The sequence below is a fragment of the Homo sapiens genome, chromosome 3, assembly GCF_000001405.40.
Source record: "Homo sapiens chromosome 3, GRCh38.p14 Primary Assembly".
Taxonomy (NCBI): domain Eukaryota; kingdom Metazoa; phylum Chordata; class Mammalia; order Primates; family Hominidae; genus Homo; species Homo sapiens.
The window spans coordinates 125,086,309-125,100,246 of NC_000003.12; the positions used below are offsets into that span (position 1 = coordinate 125,086,309).

Here is a 13,938-nt window from a genome sequence, read left to right on the forward strand (position 1 = left end):
GGTGTTTGTGTTATGAATGGTGTGGACTGATTCTACTCCAACCAAAGTACTGTCCTTTTCTAAGAATAATCTCCCCCTAGTACATTCTTCTTTCTACATAGCACTGCTGTGACCTCCAAGGTGAAATCCTAGGAATTCAGAGTACAACATAAGGACTGGTGACCTCCTATGGCATTTTTAGGCTTTAAAACCAGAAATGACTAAAAATATTCCTGTAAATCAGGCAAGGCAAAAAAATAGTCTCACCCACACACCACTTGCAGCTCCAGAATCTGTAGGCAGCTTTTACACAGAATCTATTTCCATTTAAACTCTACTCTTTCTCAGGACTGGGTTGTAGGGGAGAAGAGATCAGTGAAGAAATGTTGTGACCTGGCTCACCCAACCTTGTGCATCGGACAGGACAAGAGGCAGAAAGATCACTCACCCTCTCTGCAGCTCCACATGAGACATTGAGACCAGCTGGCCCAAGTAAGCAGATGACAGGGTGCTCCCCATGCACCCCAGCCTCCATCCCTGGGCCCTGTCCCTGCTGGTGTCTGTAGCCCTTGCTGCTGCTTCTTGTCATCCCAAGCTCCAGCACGAAGGCTTTATTTCTTGTGCCATCTTGAATAGATTGGCAATTATTTGTGAAGAGTTGTCTTAAATAGGATTCTTGGGAATGCAGAGTGTTTAATGGGCATGGTGATGATAGCACAGCAACGTGAATGTCCTTAATGCCACTGAACTGCACACTGCACGTAAACATGGCTAAGATGGTACATCTCACGTTACATGTATTTCACTTTTTTTTTTTTTTTTTTTGAGATGGAGTCTCACTTTGTCAACTAGACTGGAGTTCAGTGGCACGATCCCGGCTCACAGTAACCTCTGCCTCTCGGGTTCAAGCGATTCTCCTGCCTCAGCCTCCCTAGAAGTTGGAATTACAGGCACGCCACCATGCCCAACTAATTTTTGTAGTTTTAGTAGAGATGGGGTTTCACTATGTTAGCCAGGCTGGTCTTGAACTCCTGACCTCAGGTGATCTGCCCACCTTGGCCTCCCAAAGTGCTGAGATTACAGGCGTAAGCCACCACGCCCAGCCCTATTTTACCATAATTTTTAAAATGAGGAGAAAAAAGGATTATGAAGTTACATCTGGGATCAATGGGAAAGGATCCCATGATCCACTAGCAATGTCTGAACATGCAGGGTGGAAATATTAGCAAGTACAACCCGGACATCTAGAGTCTCAAAAACAAACCAACAAAATGCAACCAAATGAACACTCGGTTGGGTTCTGCCTGGATTTTCCTAGCCTGCAGCTCTAGCTCCTCACTGATATTGAAAGGGGACAGAGGGTGGGTGTAATTCCCCAGAATCCCAGGGCCTTAAAAGGTAAGAAGCAGTGATACTGCAAGAGTGGAGGAGAAGGAGTGAGATTAGGGCACATGTGAAATATACCCTCTCTATGAGGCTTCTATTTCTCAGGAAAGTTTTTTTTCTCCTTTCCTGTATATCTGACCATAGAGGTCCCACAGAAATCCTCCAGGATCTCCACTTTATTTCTATACTTGGCCTCTGCACTGTCCCCAACCCAGTCATGTCAACTACCTCTGACTCAGATGGAAGAATGTGCTTCCTGGCGTTACATTTCCCTTGGGCTTTAATCTTGTGTGTGATTATGCATTGATGTGAATGTGTCTTAGACTGTAAACTCACTGAGAGTAGTGACTTATCACCCCAGCAACCAGATTCTAAATAAAGCCTCTGTTCTTGATGACTGAGGATAAGAAGGGAAGAGGACATGAGCCTAGAGGAAGCTTCTGATGAGCCGAATCTGGGGGCCGAGTGTGGTGGAGTGCACGCAGGAGCAACATCTGAGTCTCCCGGAGGTGCCCAGTTGTTAGGTTCCCATGCCACAATCCAGGCCCAAGCCCAGCCAGGAATGGGACACCCTTGGCACCTCCCAGGACTCTGGACACTCATCCATTCTGGTACTGGCTCCAAATTGGCACAGACCTGCAGGAGGGGAGCAAGAGAGACCTCATCCACCGGAAAAAGCTGAAGTTGGAGGCTGATCCTGCAGGGAAGACATATACATAACCATTTTTGAAGGTTCTACATAAGGCATCTAGAAGCTCAGTTTTAATAGGGTGAATGCAAACCCCAATACACACACACGCACAGAATTAACACAAATGTTTTCCTTTTTCAGTCTAAACAAATAATTTTCATTGTAATCTTCCATGACAGCAGCCTACTAAGGACTTTTACTCATGTGAATCCTTCAAAAGTTTATTTCCAAACTCCAAAATCACTCCCAAAAAACTGGATAAAGTGCTATAAAGACAAATGCAGAGACTTGCTAACTTTAGTCTTAAGAATTAAAAAACTTTGATAAATTTTTTAAGATTCATACTGACAAGTGTTGAATACACGCCATAAAATTTTCTACTAGACCATACACTGAGAATTGGGAACATGTCTTTTTCATCCTTATAATCATCACAGTACCTCACAGGATCTGGCACTTAAGAATTTTTTTAACAGGTGTTAAGTGAATCAAATAGTTCCACATGTAGAAATGTTAGAGCTGAAGTTTGAAGTGACATTGTTGTTGATTCTAGCCAAATAATCCTGACATCAAACACACAGATTTGAATAGGGTTTATCAATTGAAAAAAATCCATTCCTCCTTTGGTGTAGGTTTAAAAAAATTCACATAGTAAATTATATATAACTTTAGAGAAACAAATCAAATGTGATTTTAGAAAATGCTTTCCTAAATTATACATACATATGATTGAAAATTGATTGATTAGATAATGTTCAATATATGATCAGGAAAATAGCATTATTTTAAGAGGCTTATGTTAAAATCTCCACAAATATCAACAGTATGCAGCTGATAACCTGTTTCCTCAATATCATTTAGGCCCTTATGGCTAAAGGGAAGATAAATTTTAGATCTGCATTTGCAATTGCAAAGAGAAGATTTCTAATACATTTTGAGATTGTCAGAAGGAAGAAAATAAACATATTTTATTAACTCACCCTACTTAAGTGTGATAATTTAGATTCTAAATTATTTGAATTTTAGATGGACATTGGCCTGAAATTTGATTTCATGTTTTCCTATGAATAGATTTCTAGGAAATAATTGAAATTTCTTAAGATCAAACTACTTTTTAAGAAATAAAGAAGCAATCACTGAAGTAATCACTGTTAATTAAAATATATTCTATCCATGAAGTCAGCTAACATAAGGACCTCTTCTTAACATTACTGTTTTCTAAATCATTATTTTTAATACACACGACTTAAAATGTTTGAAGTGCATTTCTTTCAAAGTGTTTGAAGTGCATCAGACTATTCTAATTCTGAAGAACCTTTTTCTCTTTTTTTTTTTTTTTTGTGAGTCGGAGTCTCACTCTGTTGCCCAGGCTGGAGTGCAATGGCTTGATCTCGGCTCACTGCAACCTCTGCCTACTGGGCTCTTACTTTGGGTTTAATTTGCTCTTCTTTTTCTAGTTTCTTAAGTTGGATGTTGGGATCACTGATTTGCAAATGATCTTCTTTTCTAACGTAAGCATTTGATGCTATAAATTTTCCTTAGCTACATCCCACAATTTTGCTGTTCCATTTTCACCTTTATTCAGTTCAAAATACTTTGTAATTTCACTCTGCTTTCTTCTTTGAATCATGGATTATTTATTTTCTGTATTTTAATTAGGGTTATGTAATATTCTTTAGTTTCTAAATATTTGGGGATTTTCTTTTCTTTTTTTAATTTTTAATTTAGGAGACAGAGTCTTGTTATTTTGCCCAGGCTGGCCTCAAACTCCTGGCCTCAAGCAATTCTCCTGCCTTAGCCCTCCAAGTAGCTAAGACAACAGGTGTGTGCGAACTGTGCCTGGCTTATTCAAGGATTTTCTGATATCTTTCTGTTATTTATTTCTAATTATTCCCCCTCTGGTCAGAGAGCATACTCTGTTCTTGAATTGACTTGAATACTTTTAAATTTATTGAAATATTTTTTATGTACTAGAATATAGTCTCTCCTGGTAAATGTTTCATGTATAATTGAAAAGAACATATATTCTGCTGTTTTGGGGTAGAATGTTCTCTAACTGTCAATTAAGCCAGGTTTGTTGATAGTGTTATTCAAGTCTTCTGTAGACTTACTGATTGTATACTTATTTATCAATTATTAGGAAGGAGGTATTGAAATCTCTGACTATGGTTGTGAACTTTTCTATTTCTTCCTGTAGTTCTATCAGGTTTTGGTTTGTGTATTTCAAAGCTGTGTTTTTAAGTGCATAAATGTTAAGCTTTGTTATGTCTTCCTGATGTATTTTTCCCTTCAGCTTCATGAAATCACCCTCTTTATCACTGTAATATTCTTTTCTCCAAACTCTACTTTGCCTAATGTTAATATAGCTACCCTGCTTTGTTTTTCATTAGTGTTAGCCTGATGTATCTTTTTCCTTCCTTTTACTTTTAACATGTTTGTGTCTTTACATATAAAGAAGGATTCTTGTAGGCAGCATATAGTTGGGTCATGCTTTTTCATTCAATCTGACAATCTTTGGCATTCAATTAGGGTGCTTAGACCACCCATATCTAGTGTGATTATTGATATGGCTGGGATTACATATACATAAACCATCTTGTTATTTGTTTTTTGTTTGTCTCATTTGTCCTTTATTATCTTTTTCTGCCTTATTTTGATTGAGTACTTTTTATCTCCTTTACTGGCTTAACTATAACTGTTGTGTTATCTTAGGTTGCTTTAGGGTTTATAGTATACATTTTAAACTTACCACAATCCGCCATCAAGTGATGTTATAGTATTTAACAAAGTATAAGAAACTTACAACAGTATACTTTCACTTCACTGCTAGCTCTTGGACTATTGTTATTCATTTTTACTTCTACATATCTTATAAACCTCATTTTTAAGTTATTATTTTTATTGGTAATCATTCATGTGCTTGTCACAGTTCTCCTCCTAGACTATAAATTATTTGAAAATGGGATTCACATCTGAATCAGTGTTGGCATTCAATTGATATTCAAAATCTTTTTTTTCCCAATGAATGGTAGAGAGAATGAGGGAACCAGTGGCAAAATGGCTCTGCTGCTTACCAAGGTGAAGCCCTGGACTGGCCCGGCCAATGTAGAAATACACGATGGCAGCAACACCCATGTTAACCAGGGTATACACCCACTGTATCACAAACATGATGAGAAGGGACCCAACAGCCTGTGAAAACAGAGTAGGAAGAGCAAATCACCTAATGGCTTTCTACATGGTAAGCAAGCCACAAGGCTAATGTCTTCAGCAACAACATTCCCTCTCATCAACTTCTGATCACTGTAAAAGTCTGAATAATTGAAGTTTATGAAGAATTCAAAAAACCTCACTTAAGCAGATATTTGGGCAGACACCTTCTGAAAATAACTCTTTAATTAAAACTATCAACTAGATATTCTATCTTATCTCCTTGTCCCATTCCTCCCTATAAGAAACAAATTAGGATGAAAGTATGATAACTTAGCGTACCTTAAAATTTAGTAACCCAGAAGTTATCATAGACAATTATTTAAAAAGGAAATTATTGATTAAAATAAGCAGTCATTAAATGTAATCTTGCCATATGTAGTCTCATCTAAATTCTAATACAACAGGCAAATCACATTGCTTCTAATTAGGCCCTCCATCTTTCCTCCCCCACAGCCCAAGATCACACATGTGTCCACCTGAACTCTGTCCCAAGAACAACTGAGATCAAGATGAAGTTACTCACCCCCAACAGGGAGACCCAGGGGTTGCACATGTGGGTATAGAAAGAAGTGGATCTTCTCCAGACATCTTGTTCTTGGAGCCTGGACTTCAGGAAGAAATCTAAAAAATAGCCAAAGATTTGGCTGCCAAATTGCTATCAACTCTCTACTGTTTTTTAGGAAAATATACCTATGAGCTCCTCTTCCCCAATTTTGTAACTTAGCCTAAAAGACATCTCCCAGGGCTTGCTCTTGCAGAAGGAAGAAAGAAGTGTTTATGGCCTCCCACCAGCCAAGGATCTGAGAAAGAAAGAGAAGAGAGAGACAGAGTGGAGAGGAAGGTCCTCTGATGCTCAAGGCACAACTGTCCAGATATGTCATCTGGGGCAACTGGAAGCTCAGCTCTCCCCTCTTTTTCAGATGTAAGGTGTTAGAGTGGGAGAACTAGACATCTGGTATTCTTGGCTTCCAGGTGTGACCACCGGGACTGCTAGGGCAGGTTGGCTTTTGTCTAATGAGAGATGGTCTTTGCTACCTTCTGACTCTGAAAGTTAGCTCGTGTTAGACCTGTCTCAGGTATCAACCAGAAACTGATGAAGGAGAAAGATGGAGGGAGAATAGCTCCTCTGATTCCTTCCTCTGGCAATTGAAATGGCTGAGGGGAAAGGGGCCTGGCAATAAACAAATGCATGATCCTGCCTCATCCTTTCAGGCACAACAGGGCTTTCAGAGCTATGTCATGTTCTATTCAGCTCTGCATTCTCAGTTTACAGCTGGCTCCAGAAGCGCTCAATTTAAAAATAATAATAATTTTTTAATGTCAGAGTAGTGAAGTTTGGGCTTTTAGTGTAAGCCTCACCCAAATAGTGTACACTGTAGCCATTAGGCAATTTCTCATCTCTCAATCCCACCCTCCTACCTTTCCGAGTCTCCAAAGTCTATTACTCCACAATCTATGTCAATGTGTACACATTATTTAGCTCCCACTTATAAGTGAAGACATGAGGCATTTGACTTTCTATTTCTGCAGAAATGCTCAATTTAACTATGAAAATGCATCTAGATTGTTTAACAATATGGTCTAATCACCATGAACACCACAATAATGTTTCAAATAAATGATATGTTGAATTAACTTCGCAGTATGTTTATACTTCATTTCAACACTAAAACTTCAGGTGTTCTCAACCTTCATAGTTTGTTGCTCAGGAAATATAGTAGAAAGCTCCCTACATAGCCCTTCTCTGTTCTCCAATATCAAATTTCCACTTCAGCCAAACTCTCTTGACTGTGTCATCTCCTCTGCCCAGCCCTTCCTTCTTCACTACGGTCCAAATCCTGTCTCATATACCAGTGTTCTTCCCCATGTCAACCACTCCTGATGTGTTGGTTCCTGGAATCTATCTGGGATCCACGTCTCATGGATCCCCTAGCCCTCTGCTTATCTAACTCCTATGCATCCCTCAGCTCAGTTATCACTTCCTCAGGGAAATCAGCCCCCACAGGAAAATCTAAATATATTCCCACATACCATTAATATTTCCTTATGGCCCATTTCCTTCACAGCACTTACCATCATTTGTAGTTGTATACTTATTTACATGTTTCTATGCCCATTGGATTATATGCTTCATGGGGGCAGGGTCCACATCCATCTTGAGCCTAGGGCTTGGCATGTAGCAGAACTCACTAAGTATTCCTAGCCCAAGTCTCCCATCCTCTCTGGTCACTGTTGCTTTATGACCTAGCCCCTTTGAAGCACATGCCATCAGACTATTTCACACCCTACCCTTCATCATTACAGTCTTTTACCAACTTGTCATTCTTCTCTTGCTTGTTAAATATTTCAGCCCCTGGTTCACCATCTTTTTCTCTATCAGCATCCATTGTCATCATTGGTGACTTCTACAAAAACAACTCATCCAAAGCCCTACTTTCTCGATTCCTTGAAATCCTCATACTAATAATCTTTTCTTTCACTCATCCCAACTGTCAACTCCCTTAGCTGCACTTGCGGTGTGTCATTACCAGTAACCTTACACTTCCTAAATCATGACTTTCAGCAATCTACTCTCAGCCCATAACCTCCTTTAAAAGCAACGTTAAGCTCATTTGCTCTGCTGTTCCTCATTCCAACCATTCATAGTCTACAGAGGGACCTTTAGATAGTTTGCCTTAGTATGTTTTTGATTTCCATCACCTACCTCCCGCTTTCCCTAACCTCTTACCTACATACACATCTGCTCCCATGCTTCAGAATTACTCAGCAGCCTCATACCTAGGCAACTCATCCTCCTACTCTCTGATAGAACAAATTTACAAGCTCTCTTCTCCAAAGAGAACTTTTCATGTTCTCTCATCACCCAATTAGCCAATTCACTTGCATCTATACCCTCTATTCTGCCTTCCTTCCTTTCACGGTGGATGAACAGCCTCTGATCCTAACTAAGGCCCATCCCTCCACTTGTGCCAGGATCCCATCCCTTTTGGCCTGTTCAAGGACTTTGTTCTCACATCATCAATTTTTCTGTCCCCTACTGAATCATTCCCAACAAATACAAATATACTGTCTTCTCTCCCACCTAAACAAATGTCTACAGCTCACCCCTAGTTATTGTCCTATTGCTGTCTCTCCCTTATAGCAAACCTCCTCAAAAGAATTGCCTATGCAGTCTCTATATCCCATTATTTCCTCAACCCACTCTTATGATTGTATCTACTTTTCCACTAAAACTACTCTTACCAAAGTTGCCAATGATTTGAATCTTTTCAAATTCTGTGGTCAACTCCTAGCCCTCATCCCATTTGATCTTTCAGGCAGCATCTGATACATGTGATCACTTTCTCCTTCTTGGAAAAATTATCCTCTAAGATGCCTCACTCTCTTGATTTTTCTATGTCACTGCCCACTCTCTCAGTCTTCTTTGCTGGCTCGCCTCCTCCTTCCAACCTGAAAATATTGGAGTATTCCAACATTCAGTCTTCAGCACTCCTTTTTTCCATGTATACCCACTCCTAAGAGATTTCTTCTAGTCTCATGGCTTTAAATGCTACTGATATATTGATGACTCCAAGTTTACATCATCCTCGACCTCTCCCTTGAACTTAAGTTTTGAATAGCTCATTGTCTTCTCAGTATCACCCATTAGTTGGCTAATAAGCACCTTAAACTTAACATGACTAACACAGAAATCTATTCACCTCAAATCTTCATTTGAATAAATAACACCACCATTTACACAAACATGTAAGATTCATCCTGACTCCCTTCTTTCTCTCACACCTATACTTATTCCATCCATAAACCTTGTTTATTCTACTATCAGAATATATTCTGGATACAATGACTCCTCACTGCCTCCATTGCTCCCATCCTAGTCCAACCCACTTTCATCTTTCATCCATTTACTGCAGCGGGCTCCTGTGGTACAGACCCCAGCTAGAGTACAGTCCACAGGATTTCTCACTGTTAGGTGTAACCATGTGACTAAGTTCTCAGCAACAGAATGTGAACAGAAGCAGTGAGTGCCACTCCTGGCCCAAGGTCTTTAAGAGAATGTGTGCCTCTTCTCTGTGCACTTTCCCCTTCCTCTGCCTGAAATCTGAATGTGGTAACTCAGTCTTGATTCTTCACATGACTAGGTCCGAGGGCATAGTGAAGTCATACAAATGGCAGGAGCCTGGATCCCTGAGTGGATGCATGGAAGAGAGCCTCCCACGGAGTTGGAACACCCTTCTTGCACTGTAAAGCAAGTAAATAACATTTTTTGGTTATTTGTTTAGCCTACCCTAATTAATATACCTCCAAATTGGCCTTGGCTCTCTCTCTTACCTCTAAAAGCCAGTGATCTTCTTAAAGACTGACTCTGGTCACATTGTAGCTGTAGCTAGAACTTTCAGCGCCTTCCATCACACTCACAATGGCCCACATGGCCCTATACAGCACTGCCCCCGCTTTCCTCACTGGACCCCTCTCATCTCTCTTCCCTGGCTCACTGCTCTCCAGTCACTACTGGGCCTCTGCCATTCTTGATGAGTTGCCAGTCCAGTTCCCACCTGGACTTTTTTACATGCCAGGTCCTCTACCTGGAACTCTTCTTCTACTTCTCTGCATGGCTCACTGCTTCATGCAATTCAGTTCTCCATTAAAATATCATCTTCCCAGTGAGATCTTTTCTAATAAACCTACCTGAAACAGTGCATCTTCCTCCCCACCCTGGTCTCTCTTTATCCCATTACTCTATTATTATTCATTATACTTATCACTTACTGACATCACAGTATGGTATTTGCTTGTTTATCATATGTCTTCCCCTACTAGAATGTAAGCTCTACAACAGCAAAAACCTTCTATGTCTATTCAGCATGTTCCCCCAGCACTTGGGACAGTGTCTGGAATGTACGAGGTATTCCATACATGTGGGTGAATGAATAAATCATTCTACACCTTGAGAAGACTTCATCCTCTCAACATCTATTTGCATTCATCATGTGCCTCCAAGTATTATGCTTATCTTTTTTTACATCTGTACCTTCAGGGATAAGGACCCTCTTTTATATTCTAAATGCCAACTCTAGGCATTTAGAAGTTTGTGTATAGGAAGCGCTCAGTAAAAGTCTCCTTAATAATTATGGATTAAAATAAAGTCTGCAAGATTGATCTGAATGGATGGCTCTATTACTTTTCAAAAAATAAATAATTCTGTTATGATTGCCATTAATTAAATTGTATAGTTTTAACAATTTAATTAAATTGGTTATTTGTTTAGTTTTGTACTTATCACTTATTGACATCACAGTGTGTATTTGCTTATTTATCATATGTCTTCCCCTACTAGAATGTAAGCTCTACAACAGCAAAAACCTTCTATGTCTATTCAGCATGTTAAATTGTATAGTTTTAACAATTTAATTAATGGCAATCATAATTATTTAAAAAATTGTTTAATTTTAACAATTTAATTAATGGCAAACATAGGCTTAGTAAAATACAGTTGCCCTCTTGGTTATTAAGAAGGAACACTAGGCCGGGCACAGTGGCTCACACCTGTAATCCCAGCACTTTGCGAGGCCAAGGGGCAGGTGCATCACAAGGTCAAGAGATCAAGACCATCCTGGCCAACATGGTGAAACCCCGTCTCTACTAAAAAAAATACAAAAAATTAGCTGGGCATGGTGGAACGCACCTGTAATCCCAGCTACTTGGGAGGCTGAGGCAAGAGAATTGCTTAAACCCAGGAGGCTGAGGTTGCAGTGAGCCAAGATCACACCACTGCATTGTAGCATGGGCAACAGAGCAAGACTCTGTCTCAAAAAAAAAAAAGAAGAAGAAACACTATTGGTTAAGAACTTATATTTTTGCATCTCTTTGAGATCTGTCACCTGTTAAAGCTCACCCTTTTACAACACTTGATCTTACACAACCTCAATTTTACTGAACCTAAAGGGAATTGTGTGTGTGTGTGTGTGTGTGTGTGTGTGTGTGTGTGTGTGTGTGTGTGTTCTGAGGAACTTGGGCAGAAGTAGTAGGAAAGGTTTGTCCTCTAGGCAGCCACAATGCTGTTTTATATATCAGCAATGTAAGGGAAAATTTATGCAAAGATGCTCAATGACTCTTTGAATAGGTACTGTAAAATAGACAATTATTCATAATTCTGAATAGCTAGGGTTTCAAAACTCTTCCAAAGTGACTAGAGGAATTTTTTTTCTTGTCTCAGATTTTGCTGGAGAAAGCAAGTTGTACAAACTTGTCAGAGGGGCAGGGGACAGCTTCTCATGCTAGAAATACTAGGAAGTTACAACTAGGCAGGTAACTTTACTTTATCAAGCCTCTACTCATAAAACAAACAAGCATGCATCGTGCATGTTAAAAATGCTACACATAACAAATATAAGGCAAAATATTAAATTGACCTTTAAAATCTAGTGATATGTCTAAGTTCTATGTTCACAGCAGATATAAACACTTTAAGCATAAAGGAGGAAACCCCAATTATGTTAATTTTTAAATAATAAATTTAAGTAATTTTATAGAAATTACTTAAATATTAAACCCTCTGTGAAAATTCACTTCATATCTTTATCAGAATAAATAAACACATAGTTCTAATTAGCATGTATAAACTGATAACGTATATTGCCTTAGTCCACACAGAATCATGTTTAAAGTCCACGTGGTATTTTATCATGTTGATGTTATAATTTGCTTAACCACTTTCCAAATGCTGAGCACTTATTTCTAATTTGTCATTAGCACAAACAATGCAGCTATGACAATCTTGTACACATTTTTTGGTTTGCTGTTTGGCTGATTTGGGGTTGTTTCCTTGATAAACAGTTCCCTCAAATAGACTTACTAAGTCAGGGCAATTAAACAGTTTTGTGTTTCTTGTTACATCTTGAAAGATCATTCTCCACAAACAATGAACCAGAGGGACTTCTAGCCATGGCAGTATGAAGAGGTCAGTGAATCTTCTCCACACACACACACACACACACACACACACACACACACACACGTATAAAACTAGACAAAATAGTCCAAAACACTTACTTCAGAGCTCCAGAAATTTACCAGATGAAGAAAACAAATTGAGAAGTATTTATTTTTCAAAAATTTCTAAAGCTGAGGGTAAGAAACATGAAAGCCTGTAGCCTTCTTGCCTAAGCTGCTCCCATTAAGCATGAAGCTGGTCAGAAACCAGCAGTTTGCTGTCAGAGGGGCAAAGTTGATTTGAAGCCAGGGCAAAAGGCTGTGGCTTTATATGCTAAATATGATAAGCACAGTAGAAAAATGAATGGGGAAAATCCTTGCTAGCCTGAAAGTGCAGACCCAGCTAGGGTGAGCAGAAGACCAGCAGAAATTTAATGGGGAGATCCTGGAAATGAGAGCACCATAGAAAGACTAGATAACCTCCCCACATTTCCCTGGATGACTAGAAAACTACGCCCACGCCTGGGGAGGCCTGAAAGAACCTGGCAAAACATAAAACCCAGAGGAGAATGGGGAACTAATTGGATCCAGTTTTGACTATGCTTCCCAAGTGACACACAGATCCACTGGCAGAGAGCAGAGCCTTAAGGGCTATGCAGAGCCTTAAGGGCTATGCAGACACAGGGGGCAACTCCTAGGAAGCAAGGCTAAACACATAAGAATAAAAAGCTGACTAACGATATCAGCAGCCACACACCACGGGGGAGGCAGATGCCACAGTTGAAATCCAGGCAATTTACTAAAATAAACAAAAAACCAAAAACTCAGAAATATATATCAGAATAAAGAGTTGCTACAATACATTATTTAAATTGTCTAGTTTTCAACGAAAAATTACAAGACATGCAAAAAACCCAGAAAACTGTGATCCATGCTCAGGAAAGAAAAACATCAAGTAAAAGAAACTAACTGAGTAGGTTCATGTGTTGTATTTAGCAGACAAAGACTTCAAACTTCAAAGCAGCTGTTAAAAATATATTTAAAGAATTAAAGAAAACGATAATGTTAATGAGAAAAAAATTCGGATGACAATGACTTTAAAAATAAAGAATACCAACAGAGAAATATAAACTAAAGGCCAGGTACAGTGGCTCATGCCTGTAATCCCAGCACTTTGGGAGGCTGAGGCATGCAGAACCCCTAAGGTCAGGAGTTTGAGACCAGCCTGGCCAACATGGTGAAACCCCATCTCTACTAAAAATAAAAAATTAGCTGAGCATGGTGGTGGGCATCTGTAATCCCAGCTACTCAGGAGGCTGAGGCAGGAGAATTGCCTGAACCCAGGAGGTGGAGGTTGCAGTGAGCCGAGATCACACCATTGCACTCCAGCCTGGGCAACAAGAGCGAAACTCTGTTTCAAAAAAGAGAGAGAGAGAAATATAAACTATAAAAAAGAACCAAATGAAAACTCTACAGTTAGAAAGCACAGTAACAGAAATGAAAAATGTACTAGATGCTATCAACAGAAGATTTCAGATGACAGAGGAAAGAATCAGTGAACTTCAAGACAAAAATGATCCAAAGTGAAGAACAGAGGGGGAAAGGTGGAAGCAAAGGAAAGAGAGTCTCAGAGGCCTAATGGGATAATGTCAAGTATATCAATAAATATGTAATGGAAGTCCCACAGGGACAGGAGAAAAAGAAAGGGCAGAAAAAATATTTGAAGAAATATTAGC

The 13,938-nt window shown here is 39.4% G+C and overlaps 1 protein-coding gene across 2 annotated transcripts in view; it reads right to left on the reverse strand.

Moving 5' to 3' along the window:
• SLC12A8 (solute carrier family 12 member 8) overlaps nt 1-13,938 on the reverse strand; it is a 130,105-nt gene that overhangs the window by 3,665 nt on the left and 112,502 nt on the right. For both annotated transcript variants that reach the window (NM_024628.6, NM_001195483.2), the window contains 3 exons: nt 5,793-5,890; nt 5,131-5,248; nt 2,002-2,062 (listed from right to left, as the gene is read on the reverse strand). In NM_024628.6, coding sequence (NP_078904.4) covers nt 2,002-2,062; nt 5,131-5,248; nt 5,793-5,890 — 277 coding nt within the window. The remainder of the gene's footprint in view (nt 1-2,001; nt 2,063-5,130; nt 5,249-5,792; nt 5,891-13,938) is intronic.